This window comes from Homo sapiens, chromosome 1 (genome assembly GCF_000001405.40).
Source record: "Homo sapiens chromosome 1, GRCh38.p14 Primary Assembly".
Taxonomy (NCBI): domain Eukaryota; kingdom Metazoa; phylum Chordata; class Mammalia; order Primates; family Hominidae; genus Homo; species Homo sapiens.
The window spans coordinates 2,489,536-2,508,046 of NC_000001.11; the positions used below are offsets into that span (position 1 = coordinate 2,489,536).

Here is an 18,511-nt window from a genome sequence, read left to right on the forward strand (position 1 = left end):
GTGGTCACTCTGGCTCAGGCCCCTCATGCACATCCAGGCCTTTCCCTTCACGCTGCTGCAGCCACAGGGAGCTGGCCAGTCTGGCCCCTGCCCCATGGCTGAGATGCCAAAACTGAGCTTGAGAAAAGGCCCCTCTCCTTGGCCGGCGGCTCTTTGTGGGTGCCAGGTACTGGCTTCCCAGCATTTTCTCCAGGGCCCCTCCCATCATGCACCTCCTCCCCCAGGGGAAGAAGCTCCCAGCCAACATCAGCGAGGATGCGGAGGAAGGCGAGGTGTCTGATGAGGACAGTGCTGATGAGATTGACGATGACTGCAAGCTCCTCAATGGGGATGTGAGTCGGGCTGGAGGTGGAGGGGGGCGCGTGGAGCCTGCAGTTCCCAAGAACAGCTGTCCGTCCTTGCTGTTGGGGCGAGTTAGAAAGGGAGGCATCCGGGAGAGAGGGACATTGGGGCAGATTCGCACAGCGGCCTGGGGCCTGGGGGGTCCTCCCTGCCCACCCACCCCTCTGCATGAGAGCTGCAGGCCTGCCTCTTCCCAGTTTCAGCTCCCACATTTGAGCTGACTCTTGGGGTACCATCCACTCCCCCTGCCCTGTCCTCTTGGCCCCTCAGTAAGTGGGGGCAGCACTGGGGGCTGGGTCCCACGCCAGACTCCACCCCATTCCCACCAGCACCTGGCCCACCCAGGCCCTGGCACAGGATTTCCCAGCTTCCCGCCCTTTTCCTCACCAAGTCTGGCTGGACGCTGGGTGGCTGGTAGTACTGCCCAGCCACCCCCGTGGCCAGTGCTGGCCTCATCTCCAAGCAGTGCCATCTCTAAGGTCAACTCTGATATGGGGGTCCCACCAGCAGTCACCTCCACAGAGCGCTGTCACTGTGTCCCCGCCAGGGCCAGGGTGGGGGGCTGCAGAGATGGGAGGGTCCTGTGAGGTGTTGGGCTCGGGGGCGCCGATCTCCTCTCCTCTGGACACTGCTCTGGGGCCGCTGCTGTGAGGCAGGGAAGGCCGTTGCTTCCAGAGGGGCCATGCATGGGGAGATAATTGTGCAGCGTGCTCCTGGCCACGCGGCCAACCATTTTAGAAACTCCTGAGGCAGCAGCACTCTTCCTGCCTGGGATGTGCGGCACACGCCTCTGTGTGGCCCACGTGATGGCAAAGGCAGCTCCACGGTGCTCCTGGCTTTGTGCCCACTCCAACCTGGCACCAGGGGCGTCTGACACCCAAGTCCCAGACCCTGTCCTCAAGGATTCCAAGTTCATCAGGGGCACCCGGGGGGCTGCACTGGCAGGGAAGGGCGTCCAACCCAGCTCAGAGGCTGCCCTGAAGTCTGCCCCTGGCCCTGCCATCTCCTGAGGCACATGGTGGCCAGTGGTGGGACTCCAGACCCTGTGCCGCCTGCTGGCGCACTGACCTCCCAGGCCACAGGGCCAGAAGCCGCACAGGCTCTGCTGGGGGCCGCTGGGCAGACTCGTGCTGCTGGAGGAGTCGGGTGGGCCTGGGTTCCCGTCCTGCCTGTGGCTGCCTGCAGGCCCTGAGGTGAATCACACGCCTTCCCTGAGCCTGGGGTGGGCAGAGTGCTGTGACCCTGGGGGTTGTCATTGCCACTACTCGCAGGGCTCGGGACAGATGCCAACAGGCCGGCCTCTGGCTCCTGCAGGCATCCACCAATCGAAAGCGTGTAGAAAACACTGCTAAGAGGAAACTGGATTCCCTCATCAAAGAGTCGAAGATTCGGGACTGTGAGGACCCCAACAACTTCTCCGTCTCCACACTGTCCCCATCTGGAAAGCTCGGACGCAAGGTAGAGGCCAAAAAGGTGACACCCCTGATGCCGACAGGCCCCCCCGACAGCCAGCCTGTGGGCCAGCCAGGGCCCCCGAACGTATGCTCTGTGCGCACTCACACCTGTGCACACACAAATCTGCACACAAGCATACCTCTGTACACACCTCCGCACACACCTGCATGATCCATACCCACCTACCAGCGGGGTCTCAAAGCCCAGCCAGTCGTTGAGAGCTGCCCAGCTGGGGGGACATGATTGCCTTCCCTGCCCAGCGCCCCTGCCTAGAGCTGCCTGTGGCCACGTGGGGAAGTTTCCACATGGAGCGAATGGCCCTCAGGGGCTGTCATGGCAGACACAATGGAGTGTGTGTGGGGTGAGAGGTGACAGGCAGGGTGGGCCGGGTCCTGCGGTCACAGAGCCTCCTTGTAGACCTTGAAGGAACCAGGAGCTGTGGCCGGTGGATCCCGCAGTCCTGCTGTGGGTGGGACAGAGTGGGGAGCGTGGGTGGGCCCTACAGACCCTCCACAGGGTGACAGTGCTGGTGGGCGCCTGTGCTGGGGACACGGTCTCCTGGTGCACAGAGCCTCCTTGCAGACCTCGAAGGAGCCAGGAGCTGTGGCCGGCAGATCCCGCAGTCCTGCTGCGGGTGGGGCAGAGTGGGGAGCGTGGGTGGGCCCTACAGACCCTCCACAGGGTGACAGTGCTGGTGGGCGCCCATGCTGGGGACACGGTCTCCTGGTGCCTGGAGAGCCCTACCGTGCCCTGTGGCACCGGCTCGTTCTGCCTGTCCCTGCAGGGACCTTGCTCTTTTCCTAACCCTTGGGGAGGGTGGGAAGGTGACTTCTCCCTGGCCAAGTGAGGGTGCTGTGTCCCCTTCCAGGACCAGTATTTTTAGACTCAGGTGTTTGCGTTTCCGCCCACGGGCCTCGGAGCACTCGGCACAGCTGACACCGCAGGAGAGCTCGAGGAACATGCCCTGTGCAGGTGGCTCTTGCAGGGCCCGAGCTGAGAGGCGTTCCTTTATTTTTATCCCAAGGTGTCTAGGTGGGGGAGAGTGGCCATCTGTGGCTCTGCTGGGCAGCCAGCTGGGCCTGTGCAAAACCTGGAGATGCATCTGCGGGTCCAGGAGAGTGGTCCCCTGCAGACCTCAGGTCTGAGCGGCTGCTGGGGGTTCTGTGCTCAGGGAAGGCTTCCTGCAGGAGGAGGAGGGGCTCAGGCACAGCCACGAAGGTTGGGGGAGGAGCGGGAATCCCCCCTGATGAGATGCACTCCTTGCCTGGTGTGGACACACACCCCAGAAGGGTCTCAGAGTCTTTGGTACAGGCGAGGGGCGGAGCTGATCCCAAGGCCAGGCCGGGACGCGTTCAGCCCTGGAGCTCACGGAGGGCGTGGCCCAGGTAAAGGGGGTGTCTGTGCACTGGGGGTCGTGGGGATGGCAAATCCCACTGAGGGACACTTGTGCCTCTCTGTCCCCCTGGGGTAGCCGGTGTCCCCTCTGCCCATGAACCTTGAGGACGTGAGACCTCTACTCACGAGTCCCTGAGGCCCGGGGGCAGCAGGAATGGGTATCTTGGGGAGAGAAGCCGGTGGGTAAGGAGGGGCCCCACCCCCAGAAAGCTGAGCACAACCCGGTGAGTGCTTGTGCAGCCAACAGCCTTGCCCCGTGAGGACCCTTCCCTGAGCACCCCCTCGGGGCCCAGAACCCAGCCTCCCTGACAGAGGCAGGGCTGGGGGGCCTGCTGCTGGCTGAGACCCTCCACCACCATCCAGGCCCCCTCACCTGGGCCTTCTGCTGCCTGCAGCCCCTTGGAGCATAGTTGGGTCTTGCTGTCTCCTCTGTTTGGGAGTCCCAGGGGTGACAACGGGTCTGGCCGTGCAGTACGGGCTGTGTCTGGCCGTCCGTCTCCTGGGTCAGCGCGTGCCTCTCCTCGGTCATGCCTGGATTTACAGTCGCTCGTGGCTCTGGGTCACTGCAGCATTTTGGGGATGTTTAAGGAGCTGTGAAGTGTGGTGGCCCCGACCGGCTCCAGGCGCACTGTCAGTCTGGCTCCTAGCGCCTCTCCCGGCAGCCGTGGCACCAATAAATTCAGAGGAAACCGGGGCTGGCTTTTCTGGAGGTGGAGAGAGACGAGCATGTCTGAGAGCCATGTGGACCTGGACAACCTGGGAGCCTCCTGCTGCAGTGCACGTGGGGCCTCGGGCTCCAGCCAGTGCAGCCTGGTGACGGGAAGGCCCCTTGGCCACTCTGGGCCGTGGGGAGGGCCGTCCAATCCCATCCTGGCTCCCTATGAGGGTGAAGGAGGGGCAGGGCACACCTCTGGGCCGTGGTACCCAGAGCACAGGGAGGCTGGCGGGAGCTCCCCGGCCGCATCAACAGGACTGAGAGGCCCGTCTGGCATGGGGCCTGCGGACGCGACGTGCCCTGATTTCCAACGCGTCCAGCGAGGCAGTGTCCAGGCAGGCCCAGGTCCAGGCTGGGGAGAGCGGGCAGCAGTCGGAGCTGTTTGCTGTGGCGTGGCTGAGCGCCGAGTGTCTGTGGTCATGAGAGCTACAGTGGCCTCTTTGCAGCAGTGTGGGAGCATCCAGGGGTGTGGGAGGGTGTGTGTGCAGGGGCGTGCTGTGGGTGTTGCAGGGGTGTGTGCAGAGGGGTGGGCGTGTACAGGGGCATGGCCACGGGTGGGTGATGTGTCCGCTTCTGGCGGAAGCCCCCTCCTAACAGGGACCGCTGCTGCAGGCCCACGGCTTTGCTGTGTTTCAAAGAAAGTAGCCCCCACCCTTGGTGGGGGACAGGATGTGGTATGGGAGCCCCTCCTGAGCACAGCTGGGCCATGTTTTGGAGGTGTCTGTGGGAGGGGCTGCAGGGGTCAGGTGGTGGCACAGGCTCTGCTGGTTCCATTGGGAATGAGCTTTGGGGTGAATGAGCAGCTCGTGAGGCAGCCCTGGGTTCGGCGGGGGGCAGGCAGGGTAGCCCTGGATGTGTCTGCTACTTATACAGCGGTAGGAAGGCTCACAGTGGTTTCCTGGGGTTCCCCAGCTCAGAACCCGCCTCAGGGAGTGCCCACCTGGAGCCGTGTGTCTGATTAGGGATACCCGCGCACTGCGGGAACAGGTCAGGGCCGTGGAATGCTCGTAAAAGGGTTGCGCAAGCAGGCCTGGCCGAGCAGTATTCCAGGCACACAAACGCAGTTATTACGTAGTCACCACTGGTGGGAAAAAAGGATTCAGAACTTAACGAGTTTAAAACAACACATGAGAGACGCTGAGGCAGGTGTGAGCGAATGTTTCCACCGGGGCCTGACTTTCAGGCCGCTTCTCCTCGGCAGCTGCCTCTGCCCCAGGGTGGACTGGGAACGGCTGCCACGGGGGCTCCCCAACCTGTCCCCGCCCTGCCCTCCCCTCCCGTCTGCCTTACTCCAGACCTGGCTCAAGCCCACCTCTTCCAGGAAGGCCTTCTGGGACCACCAGGGGCTGTCCCGGCCTCCCTGCCTGGTTCAAGGCTAGACTCACCTTGTCCCTGTCTCTCCCCTGGACTCAGAGCAAGGCTGAAGAGGACGTGGAGTCTGGGGAGGATGCCGGGGCCAGCAGACGCAATGGCCGCCTCGTCGTGGGAAGCTTCTCCAGGCGCAAGGTCCGGCGCAGCTCCCAGGCCAGGGTCCCGGTCTGGGCCCAGTGTCCTCCCTGCTCCCAGTGCCCCGTGTCCTCCCTGCTCCCAGTGCCCCGTGTCCTCCCTGCTCCCAGTGCCCCAGTGGGCCCTGCCCCAGCCAGAGCAGATGGGGGTCTCCTCCAGTCCCCAGGGTTCCCAGCCTGGCTCACAGGATCCCCTCTGAGTCAGGCCGAGCTATCGGTTGCAGGTGCCAGGGACTGGGCCAGAAGCCTGGGCTCGGAGCTGGTGGGAACAGGTGCCTGGCTGGCTCACATCCCTTCTCTGGCCCACGCTGGCCCTCGCCCCAAGCTCAGGTGCCTTGTGGCTGCCCTGAGAGTCTGCCAGAGCCCAGATCGAGAGGGCACCGAGGAGGCTTTGGCAGGCCCAGCCAGGCGGGATGGACATGGGAGGCTGCGTGGGCCGCTGGGGACCCCGGAGGATAGGCCCTCCCCAACCCCCCAGCCTTCGCCAAGGCCTGGCCTGGGCCAGAGGCCCTACAGCTCACACCTCTGCCCCCCGCACAGAAGAAGGGCAGCAAGCTGAAGAAGGCGGCCAGCGTGGAGGAGGGAGATGAGGGTCAGGACTCCCCGGGAGGCCAGAGCCGAGGGTAGGTGCCCTGCCCCACGGGGAGGCCCCGCACACTCCTGGGAGCCTGGCCCAACCGGGCCCTTCTCTGCGGTGACCCCACCAGGACCATCCCTGAGCAGGGCAGGACCTACCCCCTTCTTGGCCCCTGGAAGCAGTGAAGTGGTAGGGAGTGTGGTGTGCAGGGCAGGCTGGTGGCTGTGGGCAGTGGGGGCAGGGGCGGCTGAGCAGGTGGCTGGAGGGCCCAGGTCCCCACAGCCCTGGATGCTGCCGGGCTGTCGGCTCTCGGTCCTCACCGCCTCCTCTTATGAGGCCCCCAGCCTCATGCCCTCCCCAGGGGGCAACAAATGCCTGCCATGAAGTGGCTCCCCCTCTTCCCGTCCAGTCAGGCTGAATTCAAGGCCCAGGCCCCCGTGTCGGAGGCCTTCCTCAGCACTGTCTGGGGTCTCTTTGAGGTCTCAAACCTACAGGCCCAGAAGGAACTCCCACCCCTCCCGGACCCTGGGCTCCCCCCGTGCCGCCCACTCCCTCCTATTGCCGTCTCCCCTCACTTCCATCCCCCAATGGTTCCTCCGTGCCCCTCGCCTGGGCACAGCCCCCTCCTGTCTCATCCCGTCCCACGTGCCAGCCGGGCTCTGCCCTTAGCACACATCTGATCCACGTGTGCCGCTGCCACCCGGCCGACACGGAGGCCCCCTTGGACCCTGGCCTCCTCTCCACATAGCGATTCTAGGCCAGACCCAGGCCCCGAGCCCAGCTCTCCCCTGCTCAGAACCTTCCAGAAGCCCCCACACCTGCCACGCTTGGCAGGCCACGTCATCCTCCACTGCACACAGTGCCTAGGGACTTTGCACCTGCTGGTAGCTCCCAGCCAGCCCACATCCTGCCCAGCACTCAGGTTTCCGCAGCCCGCGGCCCAGTCTGGCGTCCGTCTCTGATGGTTCGGGGCCTGCTGCGTGAATTAATGAGGCTGCCCGAGCCCTGGAGCCCGTCTCACGGAGCTGGGTGCCAGGCTGGCCCTGGACGGGAGGGGTTCTGACCCCCTGCACCTGCCACAGGGCGACCCGGCAGAAGAAGACCATGAAGCTGTCCCGGGCCCTCTCTGACCTGGTGAAGTACACCAAGTCCGTGGCCACCCACGACATAGAGATGGAGGGTGAGTGGCTCGGGGACCTGGGGCCACGGGCGGAGGCCTCCCTGTCCCCCATCCCTGCTATGCTGCTGGGCGCCGGGCGAGGTCGAGGACTGGCAGTCTGATGCCCGGTCACCGGCGCCACAGCGGCGTCCAGCTGGCAGGTGTCGTCCTTCAGCGAGACCAAGGCCCACCAGATTCTGCAGCAGAAGCCGGCGCAGTACCTACGCTTCAACCAGCAGCAGCTCTCCCGCATCTACCCCTCCTCCTACCGTGTGGACTCCAGCAACTACAACCCGCAGCCCTTCTGGAACGCCGGCTGCCAAATGGGTGGGTGCGGGCATGGTGCGCTGGGTGTGGTGGGGAGGGCTCGGCTCAGACGGTCCCTGAAGCCCAAGGGGCGAGCAGGGGACCCGCTGGGGCCTCGGTTCTGTCCTGGGCTCTATTGCCCTTGGAGCCTCCACACCTCTGTGGCATGCTGCCGACACCAGGCTGCCACTGACACCAGGCTAGCACTGGGGCAGGGTCCTTCAGGCCTTGTGGGGGATGTGGGAGCGATGGTGCAGGCCTGTCCACCTACTCCCAGGGATACCTGCCTGCGAGGCTGGCTGCGCCAGCTCCGGGGATGTCCCTCCAGGATGTGCTGGCCTCAGTCCTGCACAGGTGTGAACCTTGGAGTCCCATTCACATTGGGTGAACGAGGGGCAGACGGCAGATACGCGGCAGCTGTGCAGGGGAGGCTAGCGTGTGGTGGTGGGTGGGCGGGGCACACACCTGGAAGGTCAGGTGCTGACCAGGGCAGCCTTGTGTCACCCTCGCAGTTGCCCTGAACTACCAGTCAGAGGGGCGGATGCTGCAGCTGAACCGAGCCAAGTTCAGCGCCAACGGTGGCTGCGGCTACGTACTCAAGCCTGGGTGCATGTGCCAGGGTGAGGCACTCGGACACTCAGGGCTCGGACGCTCAGGGCTCGGATGGGCCTCCTGGGTGTCCCCAGAACAGAGATCGGAGCCCCACAGGCTAGCAAGGGGGTGGGGGCGGCTTTGGCAGAGTCCCCTGGAGGGTCAGGTTGGGACGAAGCTCCCAGGATGCTGGGGAGGTGGGTGGGGGAACCCTCCTTGCTAGCGTTGCAAAGAAGGGCCCAGCTCCGTCAGGAATCCAGGGATGGAGAACTGGGGAGCCTGGGCCCCACATGAGATTCATGGCAGGACTTGTCTGAGGGGCCCCAGTGCCAGCGACCCAGCCCCCTGTGCCTGGCCCCTCTGTGGGTCTCAGGACCTGGGTCTGGGCTGGGTGTTTGGAGGAACCTCCTCCCGGCTCTCAGACACCTCTGTTTTGTCTGCTGTGGATGACTTCCAGCTTGGTCCCCCTGTGGCCCTGGCAGGAGTATCACCATGGGAGAGGGCAGGACAGGGGCTGGGCGAGCAGGCCTCCCACTAGACCAGGCTACTCCTGCTGTGGACCAGCTACTTCCACCTCTGCCCTTGGCTTGCCCTCCTCAGAGTTCTCAGCCTGAGTGGGCCCTGGGGACACTGTCACCAGAGACCCCACCCCTCATACCCCCAGGGACCCAGACCCACCCCCAGAAGCCATGTGACCTCCTCGGCTCAGCTGTGGGAGGCATGGGCTCTGTCCCACATGCTGCGGTAGCCACAAAGGTGATCCATACTGGGCCAGGTGCACCCCGAGGTGCCCCCCTGGACCACTGCCTCCCTCCCTCCCCCTGGCACCGGCTCCAGTCTCCTATGTGGGGGCTGGGGAGGGGGCTGTTGGCAGCCATGCCCCAGCAAGCAGGGGGCTTGCTGAGGGCTGGGCCACTGACCACCTCCCCGGCATCCCCTCAGGCGTGTTCAACCCCAACTCGGAGGACCCCCTGCCCGGGCAGCTCAAGAAGCAGCTGGTGCTCCGGATCATCAGTGGCCAGCAGCTTCCCAAGCCGCGCGACTCCATGCTGGGGGACCGTGGGGAGGTGGGGGCCAGCCCCACACAGGCGGGAGGGGTGGGAGTTGGGGGCGGGCCGGGCATCGCGATGGGCCCTGATGCCACCCCCACTCCTGTGTCCCAGATCATCGACCCCTTTGTGGAGGTGGAGATCATTGGGCTCCCTGTGGACTGCAGCAGGGAGCAGACCCGCGTGGTGGACGACAACGGTGAGGCTGGGCCGTGGCTCCGTCACACCTGTGATGGAAGTCTGAGGGGGGAGGGTTGGGGCTACCTGGTGTGCCCGGGTGCCCTGCCCAGGCCTCCCTCAGTGACAGTCCTGGGCGCCCTCCCCTCTAGGTGGGCAGTCCCGGAAGCAGCACCGGGAGTGGCACTGGGAGTGGTGTGGGCCGGGGGCTCCAGGCTGGAGCGGTGCTGGGCCGGGCCCTCCCCATGGGACACTCCTCCTGGCGCTGCTTCCCCAGGGTTCAACCCCACCTGGGAGGAGACCCTGGTTTTCATGGTGCACATGCCGGAGATCGCGCTGGTCCGCTTCCTCGTCTGGGACCACGATCCCATCGGGCGTGACTTCATTGGCCAGAGGACGCTGGCCTTCAGCAGCATGATGCCAGGTGGGCAGGAGTGGACACGGTGCCCCCCACACTGGCCGAGGGCCCCAGGGCAGGGCAGGTACTCTTTCCCCTGTGAGTCAGTGCCTGTGTAGGTGGGCCTGCACCTGGCACCAAAGAGACAGGAGCTGAGGACGGGAGGAGAGCCAGCCTGGGGATCTGCGGGTCAGGCAGGGGCATGGCCTGTGGGGGAGGGGCCACCCCCAGGAAGAGGTCCCTGCAGGCTGGTGCAATGCCAATGGGCTTCCTGGAGGAGGTGGGGTAGTGCTGGGCCCACAGGAGGCAGAGGCCCCAGGCCTGGGCTTGTTGGGTGTATCTGGGGTCTTGGGACCTTTAAGTAGAATGGGGGGCAGAGCAGGTGGGGGCCCTGGGAGGCTGTGACCTCATGACCCTGCTGACCCACACTGCTCCAGGCTACAGACACGTGTACCTAGAAGGGATGGAAGAGGCCTCCATCTTCGTGCATGTGGCTGTCAGTGACATCAGCGGTAAGGTGAGTGTCACCCCCTGCCACCAGCCATCATGGGGAGGGGCCACACCAGCCCCTTGTCCCATGCCCCCCCATGTGTCCCCAGTGCTGGGTCCTGAACTCAGGCAGTGAGGCCTAGGGTCCCCTCCCCGGGCCTCTGCTCCTCTATCTCAAGAGGGGCTGCTGTGGGGGCCTGGCTCCTGAGCCACCAGTGCCCACCTCTGATCTCAGGGCTGGCTTTGGGCATCTCGGGCAGGACAGGTCCTGAGTGCTCCGGGCCTTGCCCCGCCCTGTGTCACCCATGCCTGTCTCAGACTCTTGGGGGCCTTGCAGCCTCCACCCCTACAGTGCTGCCATCTGGCTTCTCAGCAGGGACCGAGTGATGCCCCTCTCCCCTCTACTACCCCCCACCCCTCTACTTCCTGGTGTCACGTGGAAGGCAGCTGCCCGGGTTTGCCTGTGACTCCACACCCAGCATGTCTGTCCCCTGCCCCAGGTCAGGGTGGGGCCTCGGCTTCCGCAGGAAGTGGTCTTGGTGCCAGCCCTGCTGCCCTGGCTTTGAGCTGGGGCCCAGTGCCCTCTGGGTCCTGCTGGCTGCAGCTGGCCCTCGGGGAACCCGCACACACAGCAGGAGGGGCCTGCCCAGGCCCAGTGCTGACTCTCTCCTGCCATGCTCTCGGGCCCAGAGGTGCCATCCAGCCCCTGCCGTCTATCCACCCATCTGTTCCTCGTCCCCCAGGCTGCAGGGCTCCCCACGCCACTGCTGTGGCCGCCTCACCTGCTCCCCCTGTCTCTTTGGTCTTGCAGTCGGCTTCTCTATGGCCACAGCCTACTTTTAGAAGTGCAGCTCTGTTAGGAGCCTTGAAGGTACCCGGTGCGCGGGACAGTGCGGCCCGCCGCCCCTGCATGCCCAGGCCGCACCCCATTAGCATCCATGATTCCTGGTAGCATTTGGAGACTGTCGCTCATGTGACGTGGATCATGACATGGCTCCGGGGGCCCTGGCCATCCCCAGCCATAGTGGCATTTACGAGGCAGATCCAGGGTTCAGCTGGGTGGCCGCCTTCTCACTGGCCTCTCCTCCCCTCCCCTCCCTCAGTCCTCCCTCCCCTCCCTCAGTCCTCCCTCCCCTCCCTCAGTCCTCCCTCCCCTCCCTCAGTCCTCCCTCCCCTCCCTCAGCCCCTTCCCTGGCGGGCAGCCCGCTGGAGCCCCCACTGTGCCCCTCCTATCCCCCTCCTTCTCTCTCCTGCCCCCATCTCGGACCCTCAGGCTGTTGGTTCTGAGTTCGCCTCCCACTCCCTCCCTGTCCTTGCCAACCATGCCAGTGCATGGGATGAGGGCACCCCTGAGGCCGGCGCTCCGAGCCAGAATCCCGGATCTGCTTCTAAATGGCTTCCCAGCCACTGTGACCAAATGCGTAGATTTGGGATCTTGAATCAGGAAGCTGATTCAAGTGCTGGCCATCTGAACGCATCTGCCCAGAGGCGCCCCTGCAGGGGGGTGACCCACCTGCCGGGCCTGGGCCGCTCTGTGCACGAGCACGGCTCGTCATGGGGGCGCGGTGGGTGCTGTCTCGGGGGCATCTGGCATGTGAGGGCCCCTCTGGCCTCTGCGCCCTGGAGATGCGGCTGCCTCCCTCTCAGCAGCTGTTCTGCCCAGGCAGGGACCTCCTGGGCCCAGCTGTCCAGGAAGATTGGCTGTGGCCAGGTGCTGGTGGGCTGGGAGTCTGAGCCCATCTTGGCAGGGCTCAGGGGGCAGCAAGCCAGCTGCGGGCCTTGGGGGCTCACATGAGTGGAGGGCAGGGCAAGACCAGAAAAGGCTGCCTGGGGGAATTCAGGAAGGCTTCCTGGAAGAGGTGGTACTTCCTAGGGCACGAGTATCACCATGGGAGTGGGCAGGACACGGGCCGGGCAAGTGGGCCTCCCGCTGCACCTGGCTACTCCTGCTGTGGACCAGCTACTCCTGCCTGAGGGTGGGGCACACACAACCAGGGAGTGCCACGCCAGTGTCCCCTGCTAGCGCCGGGGGCTGCGGGCCTCTGAGCAGGTGCAGGCTGTGGTGGGCCAGGCTGGGGCTCGAGGTCTCTCCTCCGGAGGGAAAGACCTTCTCTCCATGCCCCTCAAGGGCCCCACATGCCCTGGACAGGTCAGGCGAGGGCAGTTTCTGCCGGAAGGGTGGGGTGGGCCATGTGTACTTAGATCTGTAGCAGCTACTGTCCCAGGCAGAGCTGCCCTAGGGACCCTGCTCCTGAAGGCCCTGGTGTGTCCACACACCCCCAGCCTGAGGTGGCCCAGCCCCTCGGACCGAGACACGCATGGCACGTCTGTGGCACGGTCTGGAGAGCTGGCCCTGGGGGAGCAGCTGCAGCTGGGCTGGGACCCCTGGCAACAGCTACATGGGCTCCTTCTCTTGCAGGTCAAGCAGGCTCTGGGCCTAAAAGGCCTCTTCCTCCGAGGCCCAAAGCCCGGCTCGCTGGACAGTCATGCTGCTGGGCGGCCCCCGGCCCGGCCCTCCGTTAGCCAGCGGATCCTGCGGCGCACGGCCAGCGCCCCGACCAAGAGCCAGAAGCCGGGCCGCAGGGGCTTCCCGGAGCTGGTCCTGGGTACACGGGACACAGGCTCCAAGGGGGTGGCAGACGATGTGGTGCCCCCCGGGCCCGGACCTGCTCCGGAAGCCCCAGCCCAGGAGGGGCCCGGCAGCGGCAGCCCCCGAGGTAAGGCGCCAGCTGCGGTGGCAGAGAAGAGCCCTGTGCGAGTGCGGCCCCCGCGTGTCCTGGACGGCCCCGGGCCTGCTGGGATGGCCGCCACATGCATGAAGTGTGTGGTGGGATCCTGCGCCGGCGTGAACACCGGGGGCCTGCAGAGGGAGCGGCCACCCAGCCCGGGGCCTGCAAGCAGGCAGGCAGCCATTCGCCAGCAGCCCCGGGCCCGGGCTGACTCACTGGGGGCCCCCTGCTGTGGCCTGGACCCTCACGCTATCCCGGGGAGAAGCAGAGAGGCCCCCAAGGGTCCTGGGGCCTGGAGGCAGGGTCCAGGCGGTAGCGGCTCCATGTCCTCGGACTCCAGCAGCCCAGACAGCCCGGGCATCCCCGAAAGGTCCCCCCGCTGGCCTGAGGGTGCCTGCAGGCAACCGGGGGCCCTGCAGGGAGAGATGAGTGCCTTGTTTGCTCAAAAGCTGGAGGAGATCAGGAGTAAATCCCCCATGTTCTCCGCCGGTAAGCCCCTCTTGCCCTGCGTGGTCCTCCCGCACGCCCCTGGCATGGCTGGGCCTGGGTCACCTGCTGCTGCTTCTGCGTGGACGGTGTCGCCTCGTGTGCTCGTGCTCGTGGCTCTGTATCCGTGGCACTGTCTCCGTGGCACTCTGCTCCCTTGGCTTGCCTGTGGCCCATAGCCCCAGCCCTCCTGTCTGAGCTTGAGGCCCTGGGACTTGGGTGGAGCTGGTTTGAGGCCCGACAGGCTGGGAAGAACCAGCTGCTCTTGCTGAGGGTCTGGGGCCGGGACTGTGGCCTGACATGCTGGGCCCCTCCGGCTGGGCGCTTCCCCAAACTCACCTCCTGGGCGGCTGGCGACCTGCATGGCCCCTGATGCCTTTCCTGGGACTGGGGGCCACGTACCATCCCATTCCCACCTCCCTCTAGGGCAGGCTCCAGGGGTCCCTACTGGGAAGTCTGATGTGGGCAGGTAGTGCAGCTGCTGGGCGTCTCCTGCGCCCCTGGGACGCCTGGAGCCTGCTGAGTGCTGCGTGGAGTAGATTCCCTGGGCCCCAGGGCTTCGCTGCTTTGGGCTGAAGCACCCCACTAGAAGGGTGTCTCCTTAGCCTGGAGGGAGGGACATACACGGAGCCCGCCCCACACCACCCTGCCCCTCCAGACCCCCCTGACCAAGCTTTCCTTTCTGCCCCCACCCACGCTGCCTCCGTAGTTAGGAACTGAGAGCGGCGAGTGACAGGTAACGGGGCCCAGCCCCGGTGTCCCGTGCTGTCCCAGCCCAAGGAGGGCCCCGTGTGCGGCACAGGGCGTGGACTGGGCCCCAGCAGCAGCAGGGTGGGGACACCGAGTGTGCCGCGCCCGGGGGATGCCTCGGGGTGGGAGCTGGGCCTGGCGACCCTCGGCACAGGGCACCGGGGACACCACCCTGATCCGACTCCTCTCCGCCTCTCTCCCTGCCTCCCTCTCTCTCTTCTGCTTCTCCCTCTGGCTCTCTCTCACTCCCCCACCTCCCCACAGACACCCGCCCCCTCTCCACGCAGCGGCCACTCCCCCCACTGTGCAGCCTGGAAACCATCGCTGAGGAGCCCGCCCCAGGCCCTGGTCCCCCGCCACCAGCGGCTGTCCCCACCAGCTCTTCTCAGGGACGGCCCCCATACCCCACAGGACCCGGAGCCAATGTGGCAAGCCCCCTAGAGGACACTGAGGAGCCCCGAGACAGCAGGCCTCGGCCGTGCAACGGCGAGGGCGCCGGCGGGGCATACGAGAGGGCCCCCGGCAGCCAGACGGACGGCAGGAGCCAGCCCCGGACCCTGGGCCACCTGCCCGTGATTAGAAGGGTGAAGAGTGAGGGGCAGGTGCCCACGGAGCCCCTGGGAGGGTGGCGGCCCCTGGCCGCTCCCTTTCCAGCTCCTGCCGTGTACTCCGATGCCACGGGCAGTGACCCGCTGTGGCAGCGGCTGGAGCCATGTGGCCACCGAGACAGCGTTTCCTCCTCCTCCAGCATGTCATCCAGCGACACTGTCATTGACCTCTCCCTGCCCAGCCTGGGCCTGGGCCGCAGCCGTGAGAACCTCGCTGGAGCCCACATGGGACGCCTGCCCCCCAGGCCCCACTCGGCTTCGGCTGCCCGCCCAGACCTGCCACCTGTGACCAAGAGCAAATCCAACCCCAACCTTCGGGCTACAGGCCAGCGGCCTCCCATACCTGACGAACTGCAGCCCAGGTCCCTGGCCCCAAGGATGGCTGGCCTCCCCTTCCGGCCTCCCTGGGGCTGCCTTTCCCTGGTGGGCGTGCAGGACTGCCCCGTGGCTGCCAAGTCCAAGAGCCTGGGCGACCTCACTGCTGATGACTTTGCCCCTAGCTTTGAGGGCGGCTCCCGCAGACTGAGCCACAGCCTGGGCCTCCCGGGAGGGACACGGCGGGTGTCGGGGCCAGGGGTGAGACGGGACACCCTGACAGAGCAGCTGCGCTGGCTCACTGTCTTCCAGCAGGCAGGAGACATCACGTCACCCACCAGCCTGGGCCCGGCTGGGGAGGGGGTGGCAGGGGGCCCTGGTTTTGTGCGGCGCTCCTCCTCCCGCAGCCACAGCCGCGTGCGTGCCATTGCCAGCCGGGCCCGCCAGGCCCAGGAGCGGCAGCAGAGACTGCAGGGCCTGGGCCGGCAGGGACCCCCAGAAGAGGAGCGGGGCACCCCCGAGGGCGCCTGCTCCGTGGGCCACGAGGGCAGTGTGGATGCACCAGCACCCTCCAAGGGAGCCCTCGGGCCAGCATCCGCGGCTGCTGAAAACCTGGTCCTGCTCCGCCTCTGACCGTCAGTGGTGGGAACCTGGGCGGCTCTGGAGGCCCAGGGCAGGGGTGGGCGTGTTGTTTGCTCAGGAAACAGGGCAGCCAGGCCCCCAAAACTGTGTCCCCCTGGCTGCCCTGTGTCCCCTCCACCCCTGCCTCCCTCCTGCCCCTGCTCCCGGGGAGGAAAGGCTAAAGCTGCTGGCCCGGGGCCCACAGGAGGGGCTTCGAGGCTGGCCCTGCCAGGCAGTTTTCCCGGCGTTTTAGGATCTGTACATAGAGAAATATTTAAATTTTTAGAAGCAAAACTTATACAACATTAAAATGATACCAAGTCCCTTTCCATTTTTACCTGGTTTTTCACCCCAGGTGTGTGTGGTGTGCATCTGTGCGCACCTGTCCTGAGCCTGCCCCGGGAGGCGCGGCTGACCTGGCCACGGCACAGGCGGGGGTGCTTGTGAGGCACCAGGGCTGCTCAGGACGGCCGTCTGGGCCTTGCCCTGAAGCCTGTATCTGCCTTGCACCGACCACGCCACCCTCTGCACCATGCCTAAGCCTCTGTCAACTCCCAAACGTGGTTCTGATAAACGTGCTCACCAGCACGCATGGGCTTCCCGTTCGCTCAGCCTCCTGTGCCACTTACTTACCAGGTGCCCGTCGGAGCCTGCGCCAGGCCCAGAAGACACCCCAAGAAAAGACCTGGCCTGTCCTCAGAGGGCTGAGCTGGACAGGCTCCCAGGGTAGGCTGCAAAGCCTGCTCCTCAGGACGCAGGCCCTAACCCCGGGCCACAGGCCCCCCAACCCGGGGGACTGCTCTGCCTGCAGAGCATGGTGGTTCCAGAAAGGCCCCTACCCTAGAGAAGCTGGGGTGCTGGTCGGGCCTCTGGAAGCCTGTGCTGCAGCCCGTCCTCTGCTGCCCCAACAGTGGGAGTGGGTGTGGCCCACCCTGTGGCCAGGGGAGTCAGGGGATGTCCTGCCCCATGAGGCTCTGTCACCTGCGGCTGCCCAAGGGGCCTGCCCGGCGCACCACCCGGATGAGCACTGCTCTGTCGGGGTATCCCGTCTCACCCCTGGCTGCGTTGTGCCCAGGCAGGGCCCTTGGGAAGGCGGGCCTGAGGCCCGGAGGCCGGGATCCTGGGGTGCTGGGGGAGCTCTAAGGGGGCTGTTCTGCCCTCACCATGTTCCTGCACTGACAGGGATTGTGGGCGGCCACAGGAATCGCTGTCACCACTTCCCCAGCTCAGCCAGGCAGAGGGGCCACTGGTGCCGCCCTTCCCCCAGCCCCACCACGCCCCTCAGAGAGAGCCTGGCAGGACTTCGTCATCCTCGAGCCCCAGAACACTTGCGTGTGGGCAGCTGCAGCCCCACCGAGAGCAGGGGTGTGGTGAGCTGGTTGCCTGGGGCCCGGGGCGGCACCTGAACCTGAGGAGTCTCAGCTCTGGGACAGGGGACTCACAGAGCCCCCGGCAGTGACACTGACAGCAGCCTGGTGACCGAGGCCTCCTGGCGAGCCCCCAAGTGGTGCCGTGGGCAGGGCAGAGGTTGGGGAGCCAGCTGGGGGTCTGCGGGAGTCAAGGAGGGGCTGAGGGCCTGGGGCCAGCTCGTGTTTTGAGGAAAGCGCCGTTGAAATGGCCACATCAAGGGAACAAGGCAGAGGCCAGAGCCCTCCTGCTCCAGCTCCGGCTTCGGCGGGAAAGGGCTGGGGAAGGGCTGGGAAAGGGCTGGGGAAGGGCTGGGGTCACAGAGGCTGGGGTTGCCCGGAGGCACAGGGGTGCCTGGCTCATAGGCTGGGTGGCCCCTTGTGCAAGAGGGGAGCTGAGGCCGTGGCCACCGGCAGGCCCTGCATGGGGGTGTGCAGGGGCTGAGCCTGGGCTAGGCCCTGGTGTCTTTGTCCTGGCTCTGTCCTTCCAGGCCTCTGTGCATCCCCCACCTCCTCCTCGGCATCCTGTCTGGGCCAGGCTCAGGCCAAACCTCTGTAGTGGGTGCGTCCCCAGCACAGATGGACTCTCCAACCCCGGGGTCAAGCCCTGTGGGTGTCAGGCCAGGCAGTCACACATCCGGGTGCCCAGAGCGGCCAGGCCACTGCTGCCACCCACCACCAGTGAGGGTGGGGCCAGGATGGGAGCAAGAGCTGGAGGGGCCGAGTGGGGTCAGGGAAGGCTACAGAGATGCAGGCTGGGAGGGCTTCCCCATCAGAGAGCCGGGCCTGAGGAGAGGGCCGGAAAGTGGTGAGGGCCCATGGGGTTCCGGGGGCTGGGCCTCTGCCCTGGGGACCCACAGGAGGGAGAAGCTGGAGCCAGGGGGACAGTCCACCTCAGGATAGCCCAGCTGCCCCCGGGCTCCTCTGCCAGGACACGAGACCCTTTGGTGGCCGCTGCACGAGGGCTGGGACTCAGGTTCCACGCAGACTCCAAGGGCAGGTCACGAAGAGACACCACAGTGGGGGCCAGAAATGGCCACTGGGCACCTCTGGGCAGGCCAGGTCTCCATGAGGGAGGGGTCTTAGCCTCTGCAGGTTCCAGACCACCAAGCAAAGCTGTCTGGAAGGTGATCCATGCCACCCCACCTCCTTGGCCTAGGACAGCCTGTGCTTGGGGGTCTCAGTGAAGCCTCTGGATGTGGGGGACCCCAGCGGGGGTGGGGGTGGTGGGGCAAGGTAGCAGCTCAGCCTCCTCAGGGCCTGCCCAGCAGCTCAGCACCAGGAACAGCTCCCACCACATGAAGTCAAAGCTGGGGGCCTGCAGCCAGCCCACCCCAGCAGGGCCTCCGCAAGCCCTGTGCCCTCCTGCCCTCTCTACGATGCTATGTGTGGTCTCAATCCCACACCTGGGCTGAGGGGGAGGACCCCCAGGCGCCTCA

The 18,511-nt window shown here is 66.0% G+C and overlaps 1 protein-coding gene across 12 annotated transcripts in view, besides 2 other annotated features; it reads left to right on the plus strand.

Annotated features, from left to right (window-relative positions):
- PLCH2 (phospholipase C eta 2) overlaps positions 1-15,997 on the plus strand; it is an 89,590-nt gene extending 73,593 nt beyond the window's left edge. For 3 of the 12 annotated variants that reach the window (XM_047435029.1, XM_047435028.1, XM_047435023.1), the window contains exons 11-23: positions 225-332; positions 1,657-1,800; positions 5,321-5,413; positions 5,953-6,035; positions 7,072-7,169; positions 7,293-7,475; positions 7,967-8,074; positions 8,988-9,112; positions 9,209-9,293; positions 9,549-9,695; positions 10,106-10,185; positions 12,577-13,375; positions 14,387-15,997. In XM_047435029.1, the coding sequence (XP_047290985.1) occupies positions 225-332; positions 1,657-1,800; positions 5,321-5,413; positions 5,953-6,035; positions 7,072-7,169; positions 7,293-7,475; positions 7,967-8,074; positions 8,988-9,112; positions 9,209-9,293; positions 9,549-9,695; positions 10,106-10,185; positions 12,577-13,375; positions 14,387-15,678 (3,345 nt within the window). In that variant the 3' untranslated portion in view covers positions 15,679-15,997. Of the gene's footprint in view, positions 1-224; positions 333-1,656; positions 1,801-5,320; positions 5,414-5,952; positions 6,036-7,071; positions 7,170-7,292; positions 7,476-7,966; positions 8,075-8,987; positions 9,113-9,208; positions 9,294-9,548; positions 9,696-10,105; positions 10,186-12,576; positions 13,376-14,081 lie in introns of all 12 variants that reach the window. The other 9 variants (XM_047435038.1, NM_001303012.2, XM_047435025.1 and 6 more) reach the window with 6 other exon arrangements.
- Positions 2,447-3,008: an enhancer, noted in NCBI's record as "H3K4me1 hESC enhancer chr1:2423421-2423982 (GRCh37/hg19 assembly coordinates)". NCBI's record gives its function as "activates a minimal SCP1, AML or CMV promoter by ChIP-STARR-seq in primed H9 embryonic stem cells {active_cell/tissue: H9 hESC(primed)}" and the evidence as "EXISTENCE:reporter gene assay evidence [ECO:0000049][PMID:30033119]".
- Positions 9,537-10,736: an enhancer, noted in NCBI's record as "CDK7 strongly-dependent group 2 enhancer chr1:2430511-2431710 (GRCh37/hg19 assembly coordinates)". NCBI's record gives its function as "activates an origin of replication core promoter dependent on BRD2, BRD4, P300/CBP, MED14 and CDK7 cofactors, with strong dependence on CDK7, by STARR-seq in HCT116 cells {active_cell/tissue: HCT116}" and the evidence as "EXISTENCE:reporter gene assay evidence [ECO:0000049][PMID:35650434]".
- Positions 15,998-18,511: the final 2,514 nt, after the last annotated feature.